Raw genomic sequence first — 26,498 nt, 5'->3', positions numbered from 1 at the left:
TATTTCTAATCCTGTTAAATTTCTGCCCTATTAAAAATATGGGGATTTATAAAGCTAGTTTATAAGATCAGATGGTTTTCATGTGCCAGAATACTTCAAACTCCAACTCCAGGTTTTGGTTAAAAAAAATAAAATCCATAATCAACTTATCCTAATTTTTATCAAAATGAAAACATTTACTGAGGAAGGGAAGTGACTGAGAAATGTGCTGGAATTTCACCTTTGTCACTTTCATTTAAATCAAGTAAAAGAGCATCCATGTGGCTTTCAAAGGTACAAACAAAACATGTTAAGAATTTTAGCTGACTTCTTAATGACTGGATTTCTTCTTATATAATATTATCTTTGAACCATAAATCTACCTTACATGTTAGAATCCTGGCATCAGGGCACTCAGCAAAAGTTTAAATATTCCTGCTCCCGCTCAGAGAATATCCTTTGGTAAAAGATCTAAGGAATGTTAAGTGACCATCAAGTGACCAAGTAAATCATCTGAGTATTCTATCTTGTACATTTCATAAGTAAGTACCTTTCTTTGTGCTTGGTTCAACATCCACCAAAGCAAACAGAAGGCTTAAGAAATGAACACATATATTTCATCTAAGAGAGGATAAAATACACATTTTTAAGTTTAATAACCTTTAATAAAAGCACTTTATTTGGAATATTTAAATAAAAAACTAATTTAGCCATGTATTAGAAGTGATCATTTATGTAGTAGTTCAAAAGCCCCTTGTCCTTTAAAGCAAAAAATGGTATAATTTATGAGGACAGACTATAGGTTCTATGTGTTGTCACCAGAACGTGTCAGGTATTTTTACTGAATACATATCTTTGTTATGATTGGGCTAGAAGACAACAGTTCTTTTTCTTGCCAAATTTGAGCATTTGGCTTTAAAATCATGATCCTATTCAGGTCATCAATGGGGAATATGTCAGTGAAAGTAAAATTCTGTTATGGTGCATTTTAGGTGGTTTATTTAAATGCATCTTCTGGTGGGCTAATACTACCTTTTGCATCTAAAAAAGGAGTCATTTTAACAGTGAGCTTTAAAATGTACACAAGTGTCCAGAATTCTGATCACCTCTATAACATCAGAGTGTAATGATAATTTTTAAATTATTTTTAGCTGCCAAAGTCCAGGTTCCCCTATCACTCACAAGCTGAAACACTCATGATAAATTTGAGAGACTCTAATAACCTTAAATCATTGTGTACTGCACATGCTCAGAACCAATCACTTCCAAATTTGAGAGCATATAAAAATTTGAAGAGCTTCAATTATTTTAAATCACCATGTGCAGCGTAGAGAGAGATTTAAAATAGTTGTAGTGCCTCACATTTTTTAAGCACTTCAGTTTGGAAGAGAGTCAAGCAGCATTCCAGCATGGAAGCTCAAGACACATTGGACTAGTTTAACACATCAGAACTAGAAATATATACCTAAAAACCAAGGAACTAGTTTTTAAAAATTAAGTTCTTGAAAGGTGGCAGGGCTGCAGGGGTTGGGGGGGGGTGGTCTTTGAAAAGCCAAATAAACACCTCATTCCAATTAGAAAACAGTATAGTGATTACCAGGTCAAGCCAGGGGAGAAAGATTCAAATGATGTTTACAAAGCAAAGAGTGGTTTTCTTAAAACTAAAAGCAGTGTGATAGATAAAAGAGACACAAAGCTAAAGAAATGCAAGAAGGTTCTGAAAGCACAGCAGGCAAATTCATGTACTCCTACAGCTGAATTTTAACAGTAGTGGCATTTCCCTCACCATGGTTTTCCTTGCCTCAATCTTCCCAGCAAAGCTAACTTTCTGGTTCCCTCTTGGATGAATGATTGTACGGCCTTGTGTTTTACCAACACTCTTGCGCCACTTTTTCTATATTCTCTTTGTTTGATTGTGGGAGAGGGTGAGCACTTTGACATTTTACACAGCTCAGAGTTCACTTTCGACATCCAAATCCTTAAAGAACTCAAAAATTATATCAGCACAATCAAGCTATTTAAAGATGGCCTTTCTTCAGCATTTTCCATCATTTCATCTAAGTAAAAAGTGACGGTCTCCTCTGTTGCCTTTGGGTTTTCACGTATTTTAGGCTTGGCACTGCCCAGAAAGCAGCATGCTCTTCATAATTCTGCGTCAGTGAAAACATAATGTCCTATAGTTAGTAAGGGAAAAAAGCGTAAAGGAAAAAAAATGAAAGAAAAAGAGCCTGAAGGCACTGGAATAATTAAGCAAATGCAGTGACAGCTGTGGCAGGTCCTGGGCAGAACTGGCTCCACTGAGCTGAATTAATGACATCAACAGCCCAGTATCTCCATTAACAGTTGATCATTAATTATTACTATCTGACAGTAAGAGCCTAAACCTTCTCAGGAGTGGCCTGTTATTAATCTACTTTACCTGCCCTGAACACTGGCACCTCAGTGCAGTTAGTGGGGCCGGTTTTTGTTTCTTTCTTTTTTTTTTTTTTACTTCAACAATTGCTTAATTTACTTGGATAAACAGTGATAACCATCAGATTATACAGTCTGTTTTAGATTACAGGGAGTTTCTTGTTCTTTCATCTAAGATAGGAGGTAATCTACTGGAATCTGCAGCATTGACTTTTCTTTGTCATGTTTAGAAGGGTCAGGAGACACCATCTACCTGAAGAAATATGCAAGGCAGCAAGAAGTACATCATTCACCATTGCCCCCTTACCTAGCTCTATGGGGAAAAGAACTCAGATTTTCTCAGAATCCCATTCTTGGTTCTGTGATCAGTGGGCATAACTGTCTTGTCCATTCTAAAAGTTGTGCAATCAAAATGCTAACCCAAAACATAGAGAAGTTCAATTTTATGTATGTAGCATCAAATATTTGTCTCTCCAGATTCTAGTCATCCTCCATTCTTTCTGTTTTACAATGAAAATTACTTGGAGTTTATCTTTTAAAAAGTAAAGATTAATCCTATTTGATATCTAAATATTTTTGGTGAACCTTTAAAACTTGTCAGAGCCTTGGCCATTTAATAAACACATACATAGAGATAATCTATAAAATTTCAGGAGAAGGGTTAGACAGTTTTTAAAAATTTAAATGGCTCTTAATGTCTAACAATAACTCAATTTCCTCTCCAACAAAGATCTGTCCTTTCCATGTGGCAGTATGTCTCGCTCACTGGTGAGGAAAAAGAAACTGGGACATGCAAACACAGCTCATGTGTTAAGTACTCTCCTCACGGCAGCAGACCTTACAGTATCAGAGTGATAATTAACCTTTACCAAAGAAGACTTCATAGAAGTCCAATACATTAATTTGCTGATTGTTCTTTTCCTGCTAGAGACATAATCCAGAGTTCACTTCCTAGTCATAAACATAGACACAATATAACTTAATAGAGTGCCTGCTCTGGCTAATGGCCGTCAATGCACTGAAAATCCCAGAGCTTCCAGGACTGTATAGTGTATTTCCCAGGATACAGAGAGACTCTATGTATCCCTCCTTTTCAACAAGGAAACAATGGTAGAACCAGACTGGACTAAGTTTCTGTGGGTTCTGTTTTCTGTAAGTCACTGAGTTGGTACCAATGTGGTAGGCAGTTGAAAATTTTTCTAAAGTTATTGCGGTGAGAAATAAATAATGACAGATTAACATATACTCCACTCACTATGCACCACTTAATTATATTATGAGGACCCAATATTTGTTTGTTTGTTTTTCCCTGCTTGCTATCCTAACCCTCAAAAGAGCCTTTCTTCCACTCAGGGACAGACCTCTGTTCTCCTCCCTGTATACACAACATCTTATAGGTGAGGCCTCCACAGAAATCTTCCTGGGTCCTTTAGTAAACTCACATGGCTCACCAGGCCCCTATATTGGAAACCATTACTCAGGAATCATCATTACTCAGAAATCACAGCATGTGCAATGAGGCCTTTGATTAATACAAGTTCTTGGTTATGCAGTACAATAAAATTATAAAAGGAAAGAAAAAGTGATTTAACTCTATGGACTTCAGTTCTCTCATCTGCAAAAGTACTACTAAAAAGTAACAGCATAGTTCCTTGTAAGTCTAAAGTTGAGATGTTTGTTATGAAATGTGCGTTTGCATAGCTAAGCCCAGAGTGAAGAAATGACAAAGTAATCAAGACTAAATTCCATCTAATAAAAATTAAGACAAAACACTGAAAATCGTTGATGCACAAGGCAATTTTGAGATGAAGGAAAAACTCAGTGTTTCCTCTCCATGTACTACCACTTTCTTTTTTGCCTCATGGGAATTATCATCATATGGCATCAATCTTTCCCATCAACTGACTAAGTAGCTCAGTTTCTTAGCTTTTTCTCACTATATATACTTTGTAGTAATTTCCAGGATTTAACCAAATTTCATTTCATTTCAGTAATATGCTACTCCCTATAATCACCCCAGCCAATGGCTCAAACACTTCCCCCATGGATTTCTCTGGTTTGATAGATTCAGATGTGCTCAATTTTGCAATAACTTTCTTATGACTTAATTCAAGCAATCTCTTTTAATATCACTCTAAATAGATTCAAATCTAGATAATGTATTTTTTAAACCCCTTTTTCTCTTTTCCCTTTCCCAAACAGTAACATTGTTGGCTTGGATTCTTAAAATCTATTCTAGCAAACTGTCTTCAGCTGGTTTACAGATATTACCTGTTGCCACTGCATACTAATTTTCTCTACCTGATATCATTTGTTTCAGTTTTTTAATAATGTTCCTGACTCATAAGTCAAACTAAGTCACCCAAGCTCACTTAGGATCTCTAACTACAAATACCGGCTCCCAACAATTCTCTCACCATACAAAATCAACTCATATTTGAAAACCCTTACTAAAAAGGAAATTAATGAACACAAGCATTAATGTGCCTTCTTCATGATATTTATAGCAAAAGGAACCACATTTTCCATGGATGATCCTTAAAGGAAAAAGTTGCTATATTAAACACTCTATTATAGTTTCTTATTAAATATTTTCCTGAATTTTTTCATCTTATGCCACATTCACAATGACTCTTTAAAGAATTAAAATCTTGCATTTTGATTACCTCCTTTTTTACATTTAGCAAGAGATTACAGAGCAGATATTGTTTGACATTGAATCTCTGTTAACCATGTCCTCCACTGGAGCATAGTTGTACACATTGTTTCGGAGCTAACATAATGGGGAATATTTTCAAAGAGGGCTGTGTTTCAAGCCAGATGGTTTATCTGCTGAAACAATTCTCCCAGTAGAGAAATAGTGGCTGCACAGTTGCAGTAGTGTTCATAAGCCTAGTGCAGTAGATTCATTTGGCACCCACATTTTGGAGTCTAACAAAAGTGTGGTTTGTGTGAATCTCAGACTCAGACGTTCATAAGTGAAAAGGAGTTTTCTGCAATTGCACATTGTGCTTTATTGTAAAGGCAGCAGTGTGCTATATCAGAAACACAATATGTAAATATGATATTCTTTTAAATATATATTACTGGTTTCATGCATACAATGCAAAGGAACAATACGAGGATAATTGCTTCAGAGATTATCACAGATTGGCACAAAAAGAGCCAAGTTGCTATTACTTGTGTTAAAAACAAATATATTATCAAAATTCAGGTCTGCTGAATCTATTAAAACTTGAAAGACAGAAAAAGACTAGACATCTATTGTATCTTGGGCTCTTGGCAAAGATCTACTGTTACTTATGAATATTCTATGAAATAGAACTAAGTTTTCTATTGATGCTGTGATATATGGCTCTGCCCACCTTCTCAGAAAGCTCTTGACTTAAAATCTCGATTAAAATCTCTTGATTTTGAAGGAGGCCTTGGTGAGTCACGGTGTCAGCTTCTCTACCCGACAGTGATCTTTAGCGGTATTCCCATGCACGCTAGGAATCTCACCCTCCTTTGTCATAGGAACAGTCACTTCCCTGTATACTAATACTGCCCACATTTTAAAAATAAAACAGAAGAGTTAGAGTTAGATTCCAACAGGGGGTTACCATGCTCTGAAACGTCTCAAGCATGTACAGGGATGGGAAAATCCCTGAGATTCCAGAGATTTAAAAAAAAAAAAAAAATAGCACATGGGAGGTTCTAAATAAAGTAAGTCTTGGGTATGTTGGGGAAGTTGGCACCATTCTTGCAGTTCTTTCCCTCAGAGACTATTTTTGCTTAAGTTAGCGAGCAAGCGAGTGCGAGAATGTATGTGCATGGATGTGCCCTTTTGTGTTTAAAAAACTCAATGAATGTTAGTGACATTTTATTTTCTTGCAGAATAAGATATCTTTTTAAAAATATATTACTTTCCTCTGAATCATTTTTATCCCTAGTATATCTCATATCTCATTAATTTCATTTAAACAAACTATGTTATCCACTTCAAAACTTCTGGAGGAAGAAAGGGATTTTTTTTTTAACTAAACAGTGAAAATAAGATTAGAACTACAAGTCACAAAGTGAGTTAACACTTTCTTCACACATACACACACACATGCAATTTCTGCCCCACAATAACACAGGAAGAGAAAAAGATCAAGGTAAAGACTAGAAGCTTAATATCCTGAAATCAACAGGTTAACCTGAAAACCCCAAGACCCTGTAAATGTTCACATATTAGCTTTAAAGGCTATCAAAGTTTGAAAAATCCAGATCAGAACACTTCAATCCAAGTTAATGTGTATATTAAATCCAAGCAAATGTTAGAAATACAAGCCAAGATGAAAACTTTTACATCACTTTTTTTTTTTTTTTTTTTTGAGACAAAGTGTTGCTCTGTCGCCCAGGCTAGAGTGCAATGGCACGATCTCAGCTCACTGCAACCTCCACTTCCCAGGTTCAAGCGATTCTCCTGCCTCAGCCTCCCAAACAGCTGGGACTACAAGTGTGCGCCACCACACCCGGCTAATTTTTGTATTTTTAGTAGAGACAGGGTTTCACCATGTTGGCCAGGCTGGTCTCGAACTCCTGACCTCGTGATCTGCCCGCCTCAGCTTCCCAAAGTGCTAGGATTACAGGCATGAGCCACCATGCCCAGCCCTACATTACTATTTTCAAAACATTATCTGTGGGCAAATCAACATGAAAAATATAAACACCTGCTAATTACCTACATTGCTTTGGAGGCTACCCAAGCTATTTCAACACTTTGCTTCATCCTCAGTCTTGTATACGCTGCATCTTGATCTCTTTGAGTGAAGATTTGCCGATACGACATTTAGTACAGGCATCGAATGTGCTCAAACTGGCAGAATTGTGGGATTTTTTTCAAGTGACTGCTTTGGGGGATTTCTCAGTTTTCTACTTTTCTTTTTTTAATTTCATGAATGTTGTCAATTACAGGCAGGCAACTGGTGGGACATTGTGGTGTAAGATATGCAGATCTCACTGCATTCACAATAGAAATTTGGAAATATTTGCTAAAGAGTCTAACATTACATATTTGAAAACAAACAAAGAAAAATCTTATTAAGTTAGATATTTGATGCTTCAACTGTTTGTGACTAATTAATGCCACGTATCTTTAAATACTCCCATGTCCCAAATACCAGGAAATCTGCCAGGTGTCTCGACATATCATTGGAATGATGTCCTTGTTTGCTATTGACATTTTATATCACTTTGAATGACTTTACCAAGCAGAAACCGTAGCGTATATTTTTCCTATTTTTTTGATAGACAGTGTCATCAAAATTATATATATGAAATCCAGGAGGGGGAAAAAATCTGAGAGACAAGTTGAATCCAATTCAAATATTTGTGTATCAAGAGCAAATTGGGTATTTCCAGAAAGTGAGCAAATTTAATTATTCATGAGGCTCTGGTTAAGTCAGCACATCTCTATCTTAACCAGATCCTTTCTAGCAGTTTGCATAGTAACAATATAAAGTACAATTAAGATTTATAAATATATGTCAACAGAGACAAAAAGATTGGTAATTCGGTAAATCAATATATTTGCAAAATAATTTTCCTGATGCAATAATTCTCATATTTTCAAAATGGATAAACAAAAAAAATTGTTCAACAATATTGTGAAGCCTTGAAGGATATTCAGAAAATCAAGAATCAGAGGAAAACTAGGGGATTCCTCCCAACTATTTCCACTGGAGTAGTTACAAGTGTCTAAGGTAATCTTTTTCTTCTCTCCATCTTACTATCTTTTAATTATACTGATTTTCAAAGAAAGAACATCTATCATTGCTTACATGAGGACAGTGGTTGCATCATCCCCTACTTCAGTATATTTTTTCCTCTCAAAACCATGACTCAATTTATCACAAGTTTGAATCTGAACTTCCAAGCAAAATAAGTCAGGAAAAAAAAAAAAAAGAGCGAGCTACCCAATCCTTTAATATTCGAGTGATTTTTGGAATGCACACATTGTGTGCTCTGCATGAGCTCTGTGGGTCTCCCTCCACACTCAATAAAAGTGAAAACCACCAAATGTTCTCTCCAATATCATATCTATGATACCCTTCCTACATAGTAATTCTAGAACAAACCTGGTTTCCAACAGGGATGTCTCCAGGCTGTACCAGTCTGCCAGGATCTTTCTGGTTAGACTCTTCAGACTCTGATCTAACTCTGCACTCTCCAAGCATGCAAAAATATAGCCACAGAGACATGAGCCATGCTTCTCCATGTGGGCTGAAGTTTCCAGGTGGCCTGTGTATGTTATGATTGTGCCTGGCCTCAAAATAAAAACAAATTGACAATCCCTTACCTCCGCCAAGCCAGTGCCAATTTTTAAATAAAATGTCTAGTGGTGATTTATTGCCAATGCAAACTGCCAGACTGGCAGCCCCATTTACCTACTAAAACAGACAAATCAGTAAAAGCTATGTCAACCTTGCCAGTTTCCCCATGTATGTTCTAGAAGGCATTCCAAATTTCATGTTTGTTCTGTTACCGGCTTTTTTATTTGTGTGCATTGAAAAACAAAATATCTAGATGACCTCAATGGCTTAAGGAAATGGGCGTTCTTTCCTTGGGTACTTTCTAGGATTATCCAAGTTCATTTTCCATAGATCACACGCTCCTCATGCAGGTAGAATTGTTGATCATTTATTAGCTGTCTTGAATATCAAACAGAGACACAGAACTGAAAGAATTTCTTTCCTGCATGTAATATCATCTTAGAGGCCTGTTTCCTATCACTTCCCCAGGGAGCAAACACCTGCCTTGGTTTTTCTCAAGAGACTTCTCTTCCTTATTCCTCTCAAACTTATAAATAACAGAACCTGTTGGCTAAGGTATGATTTTTTAAATGTCGATTTAGGTCATGTTTGGTTGTATCCATCCCTTTTATTCCCTATCAAGCTGATCTATTCCTGCCAGAATAAAGTGCATGAGATTTTTGTAACGCTCTGGTCAAAAGCACCTCCTCCTATTTAGGAGTAGCAGTTCAAAGAAGACTGCTACATATAATGTACTTTAAAAGAAAAGAAAAAATCCAAAGTCATTAATTCCTATTTATTTAACATTACAGACAGGCTGGCCTGAAGAATGAGTCTTACTTAAGCTGCCCAAAGTGACTAGTTATCAAGTCATTGAGAAGAAATTTTTTATGTCTCATCTCAATGCCTCTATGTCACTTGTACACAGACCTCAGAATCGTCTATATTTCATCAACCATTTTCTTCATGTATTATTTAATAAACTGCTTAAAGCATATCTAATTACAAACATTTATTATAGAATTCAACCCTAGAAATGTGTGAGAATATGCTAAATTGTTTGTTACCTAAAGTTTTAATGAGAGTATAATACCTCCGGCCCATATGCTTCAAGAACGTTATCCTTAATTATGTAACATGGGTATTTTACTGATATCTGTTAACTGCTCAAGCAGCTGTGGTTTTCTGCTTTTTTACACAGCTCAGGAGGAGCAGCAAGTTCAGTTTCCCCTTTTTGGGGGGTTGCAAAATCCATGCCCCAAACAGGTGTGTGCAATCACGAACCACAGTGATGAACCCAAACTGCTCCTTTCTAAAAATTCCACCAGCCGGTGACACACACTAGTCAAGGTTGCACAACCTTGTTTTCCACCAGTTATTTTGATGATTCATTCCCCCGTGGGGAGGTAACTTGCAGCCATTGTTACTTTGCTCCTGTTTCTGATAATTAGAGGAATTACTTCCTCATTTTGATGATTTCTCTTTCTCCCTCTCTTGCTCTTGCTCTCACTTGCTCCCTTTTTTTCTTTTTTTTTTTTTTTTTTTTTTTGGTAATGAGTCCTGATCTTTTGGAAGGTGCTACTGGACCAGGATTATGAGAGGTGACACTGAAAGAAGCACACACATACACGCACACATACACACACCAGAACACTTCAGTTGTGAACACTTCAAGTTGTTACCGCCTTGCAGGAAATCTGCCTGGATGATACATAATATAATCAATCACTCACTGAAAATATAAGAACGCAAACCAATAAGCAAGTGTTGCCCACTTCCAAGTAGTGACTTTGGAAAACCTTACATTGATTCTACTGATTGCTCAAGAAATTTTTATGGAATTGCCATCAGAGCCTTCCTCATGTTGTTTTAAATGTCAAATATAGCCATTAGTCCTCTTTAAATGGTGGATTTTATTTTTGTAAACATCCAAAGTTTATTCAGAGCCAAGTTTGATGTTAAATCGACCAAGTCTTCTTTTAAATAAAAATAATTTTGATCACAAAACAATAAAATTTAGTTATGTGAAGAATAAAAGAATAAATCCAAAGAAAATTACAATAAAAAGGGACAAAAAGTTTTGAACAGTGGCAAATATCACTGGGTTAAATGTAGTTTTCCCAACATGACTACCCTGGAGAAGATGACATCTTTCGGTAAGTTTCAGATGCTTGCTAAAATTATATAATATTATTTGCCCTCCTATTTCAGTTTCCTAGAAAACTGAACTCAACTTATTTTATCCCGTGTTAAACAACAATCAAAACAATATAATCAGGATACTGTGTAGAAATTTTTTTCCTAATTTATGGCACCCAAATAAACACAAAAGCACATCAACCCATTTCACATTGCTCCAGAAATACGGATTTTCTTTGTATTTGAAAGCAATGTGTCACAAGAGCACAAGACATGGAATGTGATAATCTGAATATTAGACCCTAATTTGCCACTTACTGCCTGTCATCTTGAGCCAGTGACTAGACCTCCATGAACCTCAGTTTTCTCATCTTAAATTTGAAAACCATTTACAACCTTGCACAAGTATTGTGAGGAGCGGCTAAAAGTCAAAAAAAAAAAAAAACTCAAGTAGAGTGCCTGGCACTTAATGAAAACCTAAAACATGGTGACTTCTATGATAGTTGTTACCATTGCACACCAATGTGCTTCACTGAAGCATGAGTTCCTGCAGGACAAGTGCCATGTTTCAATCATGTCATCTTGCTGAATATAACTAAAATTCAAAATTGGAAATAAAAAGTTGAAGATTTTAAATTGAGTTTATTATAAAAATAGTCCAGGGGCAAGCATGATCTGGTTTAATTTATACTATACCCCAGGTTCACAAGCAATCAGGAAAAAAAAAAGAATATCATTACATATTTTTAAATACCTGATTTCTTGATCTAACCTTTTCTTGCTCTCTTCAGTGTTTAAAGAAGCTTCTTTGTTATCAATGCAAAATTATTTCATTAGAAGTCATCACAAACTAATCTTAAGCATGTGACTCTAGCCAAACTAGGTAGATTGAGTGGATAATGGAGCAGAAGTCATAGGGTAGCTCCAGATGGGGAGGTGGTGGGAGGAGAACTTTGGATAGGAAGAACACTAAGCCACTACTTCTATAATTCTTGGTAGCTGCAGGGGTGTGGGCTTGGTAAGGGTGGTGGAGCACTGAAGCAAAGTCACACTTCCCCAAACACAAACTCAGTGGGGTGAAGTCTCCTTTTAACCTGCCCCAGACACAAACCTAATGGTTGGTCCCCACAAATCAACCATGAAAAATGACTCGCATAGCTACTTAAAAATCATACAAATAAATTAATAAATATCACTTATCATTTTATTTTCCCATGAATTTCCTTCTTTTCCTTACACTCTATTTTTCAGAAATCAGAAGACTCTGAAAAGAAAATAGCTCAAAGATGAGACAATCTTAGGCTCAGTAGACAATTTACAAGCTGTCCTTTATGAATCAGAAGCAATTGCTATAGCTGTATAAATTTAAAGGCAGAAAGACGGACTGTCTCTTTCAGTGAATCTTTTACTACCAAACCTAAGAAGTTTATCACCACCCTATAACAACCAACAGTCAAGTCTGCTGAACCTTGTTGGATGTCTAGTCTACACCAAAAACAGAAAAGGAAATTGCTACAGGTACAAAGTGCATGCTCCACAGAATGAATGATGGTGCTTATGGAGCCCTTCAAAAGGATAAACAACAAAATACAATATATGCAGGTATCTTCAACTCTTCGCCAACAGAAAAAGTTCTTGTAACTGCTCACTGCTGCAAATTACTAGTCATACTTCTCAAGTACCCAGTTACAAAGAACACAAACAGTACCTTCAAGTTACACATAGGTACCCCTTTTTTAGAAAAGTTTGCCTTGTCATGGCACTTAGAGAAGAAGTTAGATAATCGTATTTAAGAGAATTACAAACAAGGAACAGAAACTTTGGACTTTTTTTTAATCTTAGGTTGGAATCCCATGACCCAAGATTTTGCAAGTCCTGAAGGAAATTCAGCTCAGGCAACATAGAGTCTTATGATACATTACCCTGCAAACTCTTAGTAGTTAAACCTCTGATTCACAAAGAAAAATAAGAATACCAATAAAACAGAATCTCAGAATTAAATAGAAAAGGAGAAATACACAGCCCAGCCCACCTGATAGTTCATTGCCCTCTATTCTCTAATCTTATAGTTTGGGACCATGCTCTTGTAATAATACCTCTCATCTTTTATTTATGTATCTCTGCCCTCCAGGCTGTGAACTGCTTTAGGCCAAGGACCAAATCTTATACTTCTCTGTTAACCCCAATTCCTGGCACAGAAATTGGCCCAGATTAGATAGTTGGTAAGCATTTATTGTATAAATAAATAAAATGGTGACTAAAGCTTAGTCTTTATAAAGGGTTTATCTGTGAATAATAACACATTCTGCAATTCGGCAACAAATGCCATCATGATAAGTAAATTTAGCTAAATCTTTTACACAGAAGCAGATGGCTAGGCTGTCTTTCCTTTCCCCTGACCATTTTGACATTTTCCTTCAATGCTACCCAGTCATCAGTGGATTGCCATCATGGGGGTCTTAAGGGTAAGGACTGAGGAATGAATGGAGTGGTAAACCCCTGTAAGACTCATCTGCCCATCCTTAAAGTTCTACTGCTCTAATTTTACTACTGAGCTCTTAATAACCAACCCCTCCATCCAAAATAAAAATACCATTTATCCCACTGTCTACCCCATCTTGCTTAAGGGCAGTTCTATCCTTTGTTACTCAAGCCAAAAACCTTGGTGCATCATTAACTTAACTTCTTTTCTCATATTTCATATTTAATCATTTAGGAAATCCTGTTGATTCTACCTTCAAAATACATATATAGTCTAACCACTTCTCATCATGTCCACTGCTACCAACTTGACCTGAGCCACCATTATCTCTTGTTTGGTCTATTAAAACAGGTCTTAACAGATATCCTTGCCCTCCTGCAGTCCATTCTTAATACAGCAGGCAGAGTGACCCTCTTCAGTCATAAGTTACATCCTATTATTCCTTCAATTCTACTTATGGCTTTTGATATCACTCAGAGGAAAGGCCAATGTCCTTACTATGACCCAAGGCCTTGAATTATCTGTCCCCAACCTCACCACCCATATTCATTACATCTCTGAGTTCTTTGATTACTCACCCATCTCTCTGTTCCAAGCACACAGACCACAGCACATTCCTAGAACAGACCAGATCCTTCTTGCCATTGCATTGAACATGCCCCCTTACCTGGAATTGCCTCCCAGAAGGCCAGATGGTGTGTCCCTCATCTTATCTAACCTGTTATCTTTTCATTGTTATCAAAGATAACAAATAAACTGTTATCTTTTCATTGAGGCCTTCACTTGCCATCCCATCTAAAATGTTGTCATTCCTCCCTGACAATTTATATTCCCCTCCCCTACTATCTTTTCATCCTTAGCAACTATCAGTATCTAACAAATCATATGTTTTCTTTATTTGTCTTAGTTATTTTCTGTTCTTCCGCACTAAAATATAAGTTCCATCATGGGAGAGAGTTTATATGTTTTTTTGTTGTTGTTGTTTTACTGCTATATCCCCAGAACATAGAAAATAGTTCCTGGTATGTACCAGGCCCTCAATAAATATTTATGAATGAATGAATGTATGAATATGTCTTCAGGCATTGGCAAAATTTGCAGGATCCATAGTCCTATTATTTATCTTTGATTTTTCTTAATGTGGTGTCACAATGATACACTTTGAGAGAAATAATTTTTGAAACTTGTCTTTCTAAAGGAATTTATAACGAAATGGAATGTAACTTTGTTCTACTACAAAGTTATATGCTGGTTTACCTAGGGAAAGAAGTTCATCAGAATGTTTGAACTTTAGTCACGGGAATGATTAAATTATATATGTTCAAAAGTATTTTTAATAAAAAGTAATGAGGCAAGTTTATCTTTATTTTCAAATAATGAAATCTGTAAGAATCTAGAGGATTGAAAATCCATTAGAAAAATATGAATATTAAGTAGCTCATTGCAGTAATTTAAAATAAATAATGAATAATAACCCATTAGAGAATGTGATGAGGAGTGGAATCCCATTTGATCAACAAAAGAGATGAAACAATATAGAAAAAAAAATATGAACTGTGTAAAACCTACTTGAGTAAAATGTCAAATGCTATTAAGAAAGATCTTCATTTAATTACTTTTAAAATGTGTTAATTTAGTACCTATTGAAATGCAGGACACCACTCTAGGCATTGAGTGACAAGATAAGGTTCCTGTCTTCTTGGTGTCTCAAAGACACTGAAAGTTAAATTTGTCCAAAACCAAACTCATAATGCCCATCGCCCAAATGCAGTTCTATCCCGTAACTGAGAATGGCACCACCAAGAATATAGGCCAGGGACCTGGAGTCATCTTTGACACTGCTCCTTTCCTTACCACCCAAATCAATGCCATCAAGTCCTGTTGACTTACTCTCCTAAACATTTCTTGACTGTGTTCCCCTTTATTTCTATTACCAACACCTGAACCTCAGCAATTACTGTCTCTCTCCAGACCATGACAATAACACTCCCAGCACTAACTGTCATGTCTTCAGGCAGGTCGTCTATGGGTAACAAATGTGATCCTCTCTGAAAGGAAACTTTTTAAGGATTCCTCATCATTCAGGCCTTAATGCAAATATCATTCCCTTGTGGAAGAAATTTATGACTATTCATAGGCTCTTACAATATCATGTACTATTCCCGCTTGTCTCTTGGCTCAGCTGACACTTGCTTGTACGTTAATTTAATTATGTTCTGTCCCTTTCATCAAACTATAAGCTCTGTGAGAGTAGAGACAGTGCTTCTTTTAGTTCTCATTGTATTTCTAGTGTTCAGCATAGGATCTGGTATACAGTAGTTGCTCAATAAATAATTGTTAACTTCAGCACTGCCCTCAGACTTGGTTAAGATGGGCCCTTGCCATGATCCTCTTCTTTAAATGCTCCCTCCGTACCATCCACCCACCCACTCAACCACCCGCACACACACACAGAAATGAATAGATCATGCCTTTGCTGTGTGGCTTTCAGGATACAGCCCACAGCACAGAGCAACCCATAACCCTGAATATCTACTTTCATAATTAACACTTTTCAGAATCCAGGGAAATGATATTTCTTATTCCTTGCTAAATCTTCAAAGCGAAAGATAACCAAATGGTCAACAATGGTGTTGATGCTGACACTGGAAAGGAACTCTGCTTCAAATGAGTGGTAAATGAACAATTAGGTAAGAGAAAAGACAAATTAATCACCTTGTCAAATCCTTTCCCTTAGTATGAATGTAAGCAATTCTTGTAAAACAAGTAGAATGTACCAGAAGTGTCTAGCATCTTTCTTGCTTCATGTTCCAATTCATAGCTCTGGAGGTACTCACAAACCAACACAGCATTTAAAAGGAGAATTTTTCACATGTCAAGATGACAGAGTTTAAACCACCTCAAGTTTGATTAAGGTGTAGGGAAACAGGCACTCTTCATCATATTATGGTGTCAAAATTTTGGAGAGGACTTTTGAAATATGCATCAAAATTTAAAGTCTCACTACTCAAAAGAAGGCATGTAAGGAGCTAAGAAATATGAAAAAAATGCTCAACATCACTAATCAGCAGAGAAATACACATCAAAACTACAATGAGATACCATCTCACACCAATCAGAACGGCTATTAACTAAAAAGTCAAAAAATAATAGATGCTGGTGAGGCTGGGGGAAAACAAGGGAATGTTTATACACTGTTGGTGGGAATGTAAATTAGTGCAGCCATTGTGGAAAGCAGTTTGGACATTCCTCGAAGACATTAAAATGGAACTGCCATTTGATCCAGCAATCCCATTACTGGATATGTATTCAAAAGAAAGCAAATCATTCTACCAAAAAGACACATGCACTTGCACGGTCACTGCAGCACTACTCACAATAGCAAAGACATGGAATCAATCTAGGTGCCCATCAATGGTGGATTGGATAAAGAAAATGTAGTACATTACATATACATCATGGAATACTACACAGCCATGAATAAGAGTGAAATCACATTCTTTGCAGCAACGTGGATGCTGCTGGAGGTAATTATCCTAGGTAAATTAATACAGGAACAGAAAACCAAATACCACATGTTCTGACTTATAAGTGAGAGCTAAATACTGGGTACTCATGGACATAAAGATGGTGATGACAGACACTGGGAACTACTAGAGGCAAGAGGGAGGGAAGGCAGCAAGGGCTGAAAAACTACCTATTGGGTACTATGCCCACTACTTGGGTGATGGAATCAATCATACACCAAAGCTCAGCACCACACAATATACTATGTGACATGTTTTATTCGATATATATCCAAAAGAAGACAAATCATTCTACCAAAAAGACACGTACACTTGCATGATCATCATAGCACCATTCACAGTAGCAAAGACATGGTATCAATGTAGATGCCCATCCGTGGTGAACTGGAAAAAGAAAATTTGGTGTATATATACCATGGACTACTACACAGCCATAAATAAAAATGAAATACATGTAACAAGCCTGTATGTGTACCCCCTAAATCTAAAATAAAAGTTGAAATTATATTTAGAAATAAATAAAGCTTTTTTTAAACTTAAGTCTCATACCCTGGAGATGAAATATATCTTTCATATCCTGTTCTGTCACCTCCTTGCTATGCAATTTTGAGCAATTTTTTTAACCTCACTATGCCTCAGTTTCCTTCTCTGGGAAATGGTGATAATAATAGTACCTAACTTGCACATCCTAAAGTTGTGAGGAGTGAAAAGGATACTGCTCATAAAGTGCTTAGTACAGAGCCTGGCCCACAGCAATAGCACTGGTCTGATATCAGACATCACCTGCTTTCTTCTTCTCCAACTGCTCCTCCTCCACATCATCATCATTATCATCATCATCACTTTTAGACCAATACTCTCTATATAATTTTATGTCTTTAAAAATGGAAAACCATGCAGTTAGGAGTCATAAAAAAATAATAAGACATATCAATATATGCTAATAGAGAAAGATGCTCATTATACTTTATTTGAATAGTGAATGTTCCGGAAAAAATCTATGGCATAATTCTATTTTTGTATCATCTATAGTATGATTATACATGTGTGCATAATATGTGTTTATACATAATTAAAATAGAAAATTTCCAGAATGATACATAAAAACTGTTAAAAGTAGCTATATTCGGGATATCTGAATTAGGGGAAGGATTTTTATGAATCACTTTATACTCTTTTATACTGTTTGAATTTTTTAACATCATCATTTATCCATTTATCACTTTCATAATTTAAATTGTTAATTCATTTAAAGTTATTTTTTCATTTTTAGTCTTTGAAGTTATTAATGTTCACCAACTTCAGGACTCGTCCTTCTTTGGCACATGAAAGACTTCTCATTCTCACTTAACTCTGGTTGAAGCCATGTGACCACTTCTGGCCAATGAGCTATGAGTGGAAGTAACATGTCACTTTCAGAATGAGGGTGTTAAGACTTTATTTGATATCTCTATGCTCTACCTTTTTGTGCCCCAGCAACCCCCAAAGACATATAATGCTGTTGATGTGGCTACCAGATAAAACAGCACAATCCCTTAACACAATTTAGGAAATGCTGTACTTTTTTCTCTTAGACTCTTCATTCCTTAAGGGCTGTTCTCTTACTTGTATGTTAAGGGGCGAGCAAACTGCACTGCACCATCAAAAGGTTCCAGTAAGTATTATTAATGGTAGTATTCATTATTTTCTTTCCTCAGTTCCAGGCATGGAACATTCTCATTTAACCTACAAATTGTAGTGCATCTTATTGAAATTTTGAGAAATGGGGTATTGTATTTGCCGTCTTTGAAAATAGACAAGAAATTAAAAATAAAAACTAAATAACCACAGAGCATTTTTTGGGAAATCAGGTGCATTTAGATAGCTTGACAGTTTACTAAATTGCAAACCTCTGTATGTAGCATGCATTAAATAAGCAAGTTTCAAATATCTATTTGTACCAAGAGCTTAGAAAATAGGGACAGCTAAGACTCAGAGCCAGACTTTGCCAAGTCCACAACCTCATTGGAAAGGAATACCTGCAGACAGTAAACAAATGATAAACAGCGCTAATGCTACACATAGGGTACTGAGGCCAGATGGAGAAGTGAATGACTATCTATTCCTTGTGATGTAGGAAACCATCAAAAGAACACGCTCTTCCGGGGGAGTTTGTATCATGTAAGTGATAACTTTAGTTTTCAAATTGGACAATGTCCCAAATAAAGGTGTCTAAAATAAATTATAACTTTTCCTCTTTTTAACTGAATAGAACAGAGTGAGTATTTCTGAGGTATGTTTGAACATATTTTCTCATAAAGAAAGATGTACTTCTATTTAATTTGGCTCTATCTATAGTTAAATATAAGTATTTGTACTGCTGTTTGAATTATTTGATTACTTCTCATTAGGGATTGGTAAATAGTGCTTTAATATTTTAAACACATGAAATCCAGTCCAAAATCAGATTTATGTCAGTGTGGTAATTTAATTGAAAGCCATGGCTACATCTTACAGAGCTGGAGGTGTGATCGGATTGCACATGGAGCAGTAAATGGTGTAATGGTGCTTACACAGCATGTTTGACTCATCATGTTTCACCAGCAAAGGTATAAGTAGAAAAACTGCAGGTCAAAATCACACAACAAAATAAGACATAAATTACTTGAAACCTGATACTTGACATGCATTTCATCCCCACTCTTTTAATAGAGCCTTCCTCATCAACTGAACTCAGAGTGAAAAACTGCCTCCACCAACACCACAAAACTTCATATTTTCTGTGAAACACACAAAAACTCAGCAGGTGCAACCTGAAATTTCTTAGGCATAGATAAATTTAATGCCATGTAATTAATACTATGTAACTAATCTTGTGTCCACTTTGTTGGACTACTCTATTTATTCTGGAGTAGTTCTTAATCCTGTAAATATAGATAGTACCACCAAGTATGATCGTGTATGTCAACATTTTCCAACCTCACTGCAAGCACTAGCAAGTCAATATTCTTCTGCTCTCCCACATTCCTATCTCGTCACACTGATGTTACAGCTCAGTTTTTTATTCTTTCCCCCACATAATTCCTTTTCTTGGACTCCTAGGATTTCCAGCAGAAAATATAAATGTTTTCTGGCCATCCATTTAATCTGGATTGTGATTTATGCCTCAAAAACAGGATCTTAATTTTATTGTTCCCTCTCATAAAATGTTTAAAGATTTCTCTAGCTCTTTAAAACATGCATACCCTTCAACCCAGAAGTAGGATATTCATTACACTTCTTGGAAGCCATTCTAAGAGAAAAAAAATCAAGTGTGAATATGAGGATACTCATTAAAGCATTATTTGCTAGTATGAAACACTGGAAACAAACTAAATATCCAAAAAGATGGAAACACAAGAAAGAATATTATGCAACCATTAAAACTCTTGTTGCTGGAGATCGATAAAGGATATAAAGCAATATTCACTACATGTTGTTAAATAGCAAAAATAGATCAGATTACAAAATGTTATATACAGTATGATCCCAAGTGTTTAAACAGATACACAAAGTAGACCAGAAGAGTGTGTAACAAAACATTAACAGTTGTCATTTCTTGGAATAGGAGTGTAAACTCTTCATTTTATTTTTCACTTGTTTCTAAATTTTCTCATTAGACATCTAATTTAAAATATGTAATGCAAATATATATGCAGAGTTTTACATCTTTCTCCAGGGTTTATTAAGTCTAAGCAGTAAGTGTAATCATTTCATAAGTAAAATGAAATAACTCATCCAATAATACTCAACCACAGGATAATACGTAAAGGAAAACTGTCTTGAAATACTCAGGGACTCATTCACGTCAGGAAATAAGAATTACTCAAAACCCTGACACTAACACTAAAATGTGTCTACCCTACAACAAGGCAGTCAAATGCTGACACTTCAGCTACAAAAACCATGTCAGTTCCTGTTGGTTCAGATCCTCTTTGGGCTTGCTGTTCTGGTCAAATTTAACTCTTTTCTTTTTTTCCTTTAAAATACTACATATGAACCCTAACCCTTGCAATACCATTTGACTACGCTGGGATAGGACAGATGATGATACTTAGCCTCACCACGACAATCAACCCCCGAAATTAGAAGGGAGGAATCTGGCTGCACTTGGAATAGAAGGCCTCTTTCCAGGTTTAATGTTGTTCAGTTCACTGGTTCCTAGACTTTTAAATTTTGTGAATTGACCTATTTCAAGCAAAAAATAAGGGACCTACATGGCAAAAAACTTTACTTTGCCACCTTCTATTCTCATCATTATTTTATAAAAGAAACCACATTGTTATATGAAAAAAATTAAAAAGAGCATGATCTCAAAGCAAAATATTCAGCTTCTCAAGAAAAATAACGTGTCAACCACACACTAAAACATAGGCGTAACACTATCCACTGAAAATGTTATCAGCAAACAGAGGCGACCCAGTGATTCTTCTGCTAGGCTTTCCCTTGCAGGTGAAAGGTGGTTTCATTTTTGAACTGAGGATTATCATAAAATTAAAAACTTATTATAAAACGAGCCAAAGCACAAAGGATTATTTGTTCCTCCAACCGACATACTCCAAAGAACAATCAAGCGATTGGTTATATAATCATCCATTTTAGATCTTTTGTAAAGGGCAAAAACAGCATCATAGATCGAGATCTACCTTTCTTAAGAACACTTACTGTGTTCTGTCCATCATTACAGACTTTGGAGTTTTTAGAATGCTAACAATAGAACTTTTCTCACAGTAAACTCAGTTTCCTAACTGGGCACCAGAATATTATTAGTCTTGCTGGAATCCTCTAGCCTGGATAAGAGCTAAAGCCAAGATAAACCTGCTGTTCTACACATGAACATGAACCCATGAAGAAACAACGGGCAGGGCAGCGAGTGTGCCTTGAGCATCGATTCAGATACATTTTCCTCCATATGACAAAGAGCACCAAACAACCATAAAATATCAAAATCTCAACTCTAAATATTACTTAAACAGCAGCAAAATCTGCTTATGTGGGACTGAGAAATCTTTCCTGATTGTCTTCATTATTTCCAAAGTCACTCAGATCATTCAAGATGATTTTTTAGCAAAGTCCTGGCTTACTTATTATAGCCTATATATGATGAAAACACAAACTAATCACTTGCTTTTGTTTGTTTCAAAATCATGTAGTAGTTTAAAGGCAATAAAAATTTTAATAAGAACCAAGGAACAAAAATAAAGGTAAAGTAAAAGTTGATTCCCTGCAGACAGTTGGTTTCAGCTAATGGGCTTTAGGTAGTAGTTACCACAAGGGTCAACTTTCATAATCATGTTTTCTTCACAGTTTCTTAATCCAAATTCAAAGGTAGTGGTTTCTTTTATGAATATTTTATCAGACAAGAATAAATGCAACATTTTATTTGGATTACACCACTCAGAGAAAAGGGGAAATAGAGAAAGGCCAATAAATCTTCAAGAGTTAATTATTTATATGGAGAAAATTTACTTTTATGTTGTGACTTGTTTTATTGGTACACTGCAGTTCAATTTAGATTAAGAAGCAGAAAGATTATTGTTTCTCAACAGAGAAGTATCATAAATAAATACAGCAGATAAATTTTTTTTGTATTTATGCTGAACCATTTACAAATTCTCAAAATAAAAATGTGTTCCAACAATTTCTCAAGTTTTAAACTCTTGATATGACATTTAACTACACTTAGCACCAAAAATGTAGTGGTGGTGCTAATCAGGGCAGAGCTCTTGTCCACAAGTGATGACAACAGAAGGGTGAGCATCATCATCACTCAATCTGCTAGAATATTCGCTGGATTTCTAGTTCAGTTTAGTTCACCCACAAAGCTGTGCAAAATATATAATCATTCTATGGGAAAGAACGCACTGTCATATAATAGGGCACTTGGGTTGCCAGAAGGGTTCTATGGTAATCTGAACTATGGATCTTTGTCATTACTTCAAATACTAAAGTTAAAATCTCTGTTATCCTACCAGAAAATAAAATCACAATAAGAAGAAACTTTGGAGGAAAGTTTCACTCCCTGGAACAATGTAGGTATTTGATAAATATTTATTGAATATTGAATTCAATGGATGGATAGATGGATGGTCAGATGATTTAAGAAGAAGTTATCAAACCTGAGAATACAGATGTCAACCCCATGGCCCTTGGAGAAGTCTCAACTCGATGTGACTCTGTTGCAGTTTGTCCTGACAGCAAGAAAAACAACAAATTATGCCGGACAGTTGCAAAACAATGCCAGTCACAAGAATGTCCAAGATTTCTGGAAGTTCTCTAGGATACAAATATATTTCTTGAATTTGAAATCAAATTGGACCTCCAAACACACCACACAGTTTACTTAACTTTGGCTTTTCCCTGCAATATATGTTGCTATAAACAGACCTAGGAAAGATTTCTCCTATTATCTGCAAACCTCAACCTATCTCTTCATTTTCTTCCAGAATTGTAAAAACTAATAGCTACTATCTATTGATCCCTAAATATGTACCAGTCACTGTAATGGATTTCAGATATATGACCTCATTTGATGCTCATAAAAGCCCTCTGCTTTTATTTATTTATTCAACAAAAATTAAGTACCTTTTATGTATTAGGCAATGTTCTAACAACTTAGCAATTAATCAGTGGCAAAAATAGACAAAAATCCCTGTCTTCATAAAGCTTACACTTTTGTCAATATGGAGAAAGGAGTGAACAATAAACATGATATTTATTGATATTCTAATTATCCCCAATTTAAAGATGAAGAAATTAATATTCAGAGAATTAGATAACCCTCCAAAGAAGACTTGGACAGTAAATGGTAGATTTGAGGCTTCAAATCCAGGACTCTCTAGCTCAAAAGCCTGTATTTAACATCATTAGGTGATGCTATCTCCACTCTTAGAATGGAGCCAAAACACTACTGCATGCTTGGAGTCCAAACCACAAGTGCAAGGCATGGTGGAGCTTCACTGGCTATAGGGTAGACTCTATCGGATGCCAGTCATCTTCACAGCTGCCGAACAAAGCCAAGACTCTCGCTAGGCTTCCATCTGAGACTCAGGACCTCTAAGTAGCATCAAGGTACCACAGCAATCTCCCTGCTATAGCACTTCATGCAGTTCCAGCCCACCCCGATCCAAGCACATGGCAGAACTGTACTTCCTGGATCTCCTGAGTTATACAGGAATATGTGAGTAGTTCTGTGTAATGTGTTGTAAATATGAGCTGTGCCACTTATAGGGTGGACCATATAATTTCTAGTTCAGAACCTCTCAGAATTCTCTTTTTTCCTCTTGTAGGAAGCCTGAAAATGTTCAGGATGAGTATGGGATCCTGAGTGATTACAATGAGCAGAACACCTCTGCTGATCTATGACTGGCAAGGAGCATAAGTGACAACAAAACCTTGTTTTTTGTTTTTGTTTTTCTTTTTCTTTTTCTTTTTTGAGACAGAGTCTCGCTCTGTCGCCCAGGCTGGAGTGCAGTGGCATGATCTCAGCTCACTGCAACCTCCGCCTCCCGGGTTCAAGCGATTCTTCTGCCTCAGCCTCCGAGTAGCTGGGACTACAGGCACGCCACCACGCCCAGCTAATTTTTGTATTTTTAGTAGAGACAGGGTTGCACCATGTTGACCAGGCTACTCTCGAACTCCTAACCTCGTGATCTGTCTGCCTCGGCCTCCCAAAGTGCTGGGATTACAAGCATGAGTCACCACGCCCAGCCAACCTTGTAATTTAAGACATGAGAACTGTGAAGGTTTTTGCTAAACAGCACAGCCTAGCTGATCCTTCTTTTACTGGGACACAGGAAATCCCTAAGTTTTTTTTTTTTTCTTAATTATAATGATTTTGCAGTAAAGGTAAACTAAATAAAATTGTGAAGCCCACAGTCTGGGAAGTAACCATATGGTGTCTGGTAGAAAATATATTAGAAAGCGAAGAGAAAATATATACAGAGGGTTTTGAGAAAAAGAAAAAAACATGAAAAATGTGTATCTTAAAAACACTACTGAGCAAAAAAAAAGTGTATGCATCAAAAAAAATGGTAAACTTCTTCTCTGCCTCATGATCAGGAATTATCACCATGCACAATCTTAAAAGAAAAAAATTATAAATTTCAATAGTGCATCTATTAACTGTTTTTTCTTTACACTTTTTCTCATCAGTTCACCTCTTCCCTATTTTAAAAAACAACCTCTGCAAAGACAAGATATGTCTGCCATGTGCCTGAATGTCAAAATATTTGAATAAAATTGAAAAGTTGACACTGAAATCCGATATGACTTCTTCGACATATAAAGCCAGAGGGAGATGGCCCCAAGAACACCAGGCACCACCTGCATTTACATCGTCGAAATGAAAAAGTGAAAAAGGAACAAATGTGGTCTCATTACTTTCCATAAAGGGAAAGCTCTTTACCACAACAATGCCTATTATACCAGATTATCAAACACAGAATCACATTGTAACTTCTGGAAAGTATGGAATATGTATACACAGAACAGAGCCAAAAGAACTCCAGACAGGTATGCCTCACCCTCAGGGACTCATGTGTTACAGAAAATGTTGGGAAAACTGAATAATAGGGACAAAAGAAACTCGCCATGTTAAGGTTTTCTAAACTGAAATTATTCTTACTTGTTTTAATTTACTTTTCTTACAATGCTTAATTCTCATATTTTTTAAGTAAGTTGCATTTATACCTTTGTTAAATGTAGGCCTTTTGATATAAGAAGTCAGTTTGGCAGAATTGCATTGATACATATTTGATGACATTCGTTCAAATATTTTCATTATTCCAAATAGGGGGAGGATTCCATAATAGCCCCTGGTTTATAAAAAATCCTAGGTTCACAGCCGTGGATGAGAATGAGTGAAAGTACCTAAAACCTACTATTTTCAAGATCCATGGGAAAACTGTTTTATATATATGAACAAGCCACAGGTGTCATTTAAAATCTTTAAACTGTCCTATAATTATGTATGATGTGACCAATGCGTATTTGCAGTGATTGTCCCCACAGAATTGCCGTCGACAATAAAATACAGACTGATATTGATCAGCCAAAAAAGAGAGACTGGGCTAATTTGTGGAATTATGGAAAACCTAAAATTCACCCAAAACTGTTCCCATTACCATAATCCATTTGAATTGAATCAGTGTTTTTCTATACAAGTTCCTTAAAGTTTGAGAGTAAATAGGACCCTTCCCACAATTCATATGTCCTTATGCACACTTTTCCAATTAGCAAGAAGCAAGAATTAGCATATCAACCACAGAATACTCATACATATACTTCATAGACGTTAAGTGCTCATAAAGCTGACTATTCTATAAAAGTAATCCATGTACTTGGAATCATTAAATTTCACCTTCTGGATACATAATGTAGTACTTATGGCATGCTCTGCAGATAGATCTTGGCTAAGTACTTGTGTCATGCTCTGCAAATGATTTTTGGCTAAAATAAAAGATCAATCAAACATCTCTCTCCACAACACTTAGTCTAGTTCTTTGGACCAAAAATTAACTTGGTGAAGCTTGTATACTTCTAGCTAGATGGCCCAGTCATTCTCACTCTTTAGTGCTGCTACAGAATATACTTCTGATCTTGGACAGTTCTCTGCACTGTTTCTGTAATAGTCCCAGAACCAATATAGTGATTGTCTCATCT

General features: G+C 36.1%; 1 long non-coding RNA gene across 1 annotated transcript in view, besides 1 other annotated feature; it reads right to left on the bottom strand.

The window, feature by feature from the left end:
- The window catches only part of TEX41 (testis expressed 41), a 408,763-nt gene that overhangs the window by 362,665 nt on the left and 19,600 nt on the right, over nucleotides 1-26,498 (bottom strand). The window lies entirely within an intron of this gene.
- Nucleotides 1,414-2,064: an enhancer, noted in NCBI's record as "OCT4-NANOG hESC enhancer chr2:145469568-145470218 (GRCh37/hg19 assembly coordinates)". NCBI's record gives its function as "activates a minimal SCP1, AML or CMV promoter by ChIP-STARR-seq in primed H9 embryonic stem cells {active_cell/tissue: H9 hESC(primed)}" and the evidence as "EXISTENCE:reporter gene assay evidence [ECO:0000049][PMID:30033119]".

The sequence above is a fragment of the Homo sapiens genome, chromosome 2 (assembly GCF_000001405.40).
Source record: "Homo sapiens chromosome 2, GRCh38.p14 Primary Assembly".
NCBI lineage: Eukaryota > Metazoa > Chordata > Mammalia > Primates > Hominidae > Homo > Homo sapiens.
Note: the sequence above shows the minus strand (reverse complement) of the source record. Positions and strands in the feature narration are given on the sequence as shown.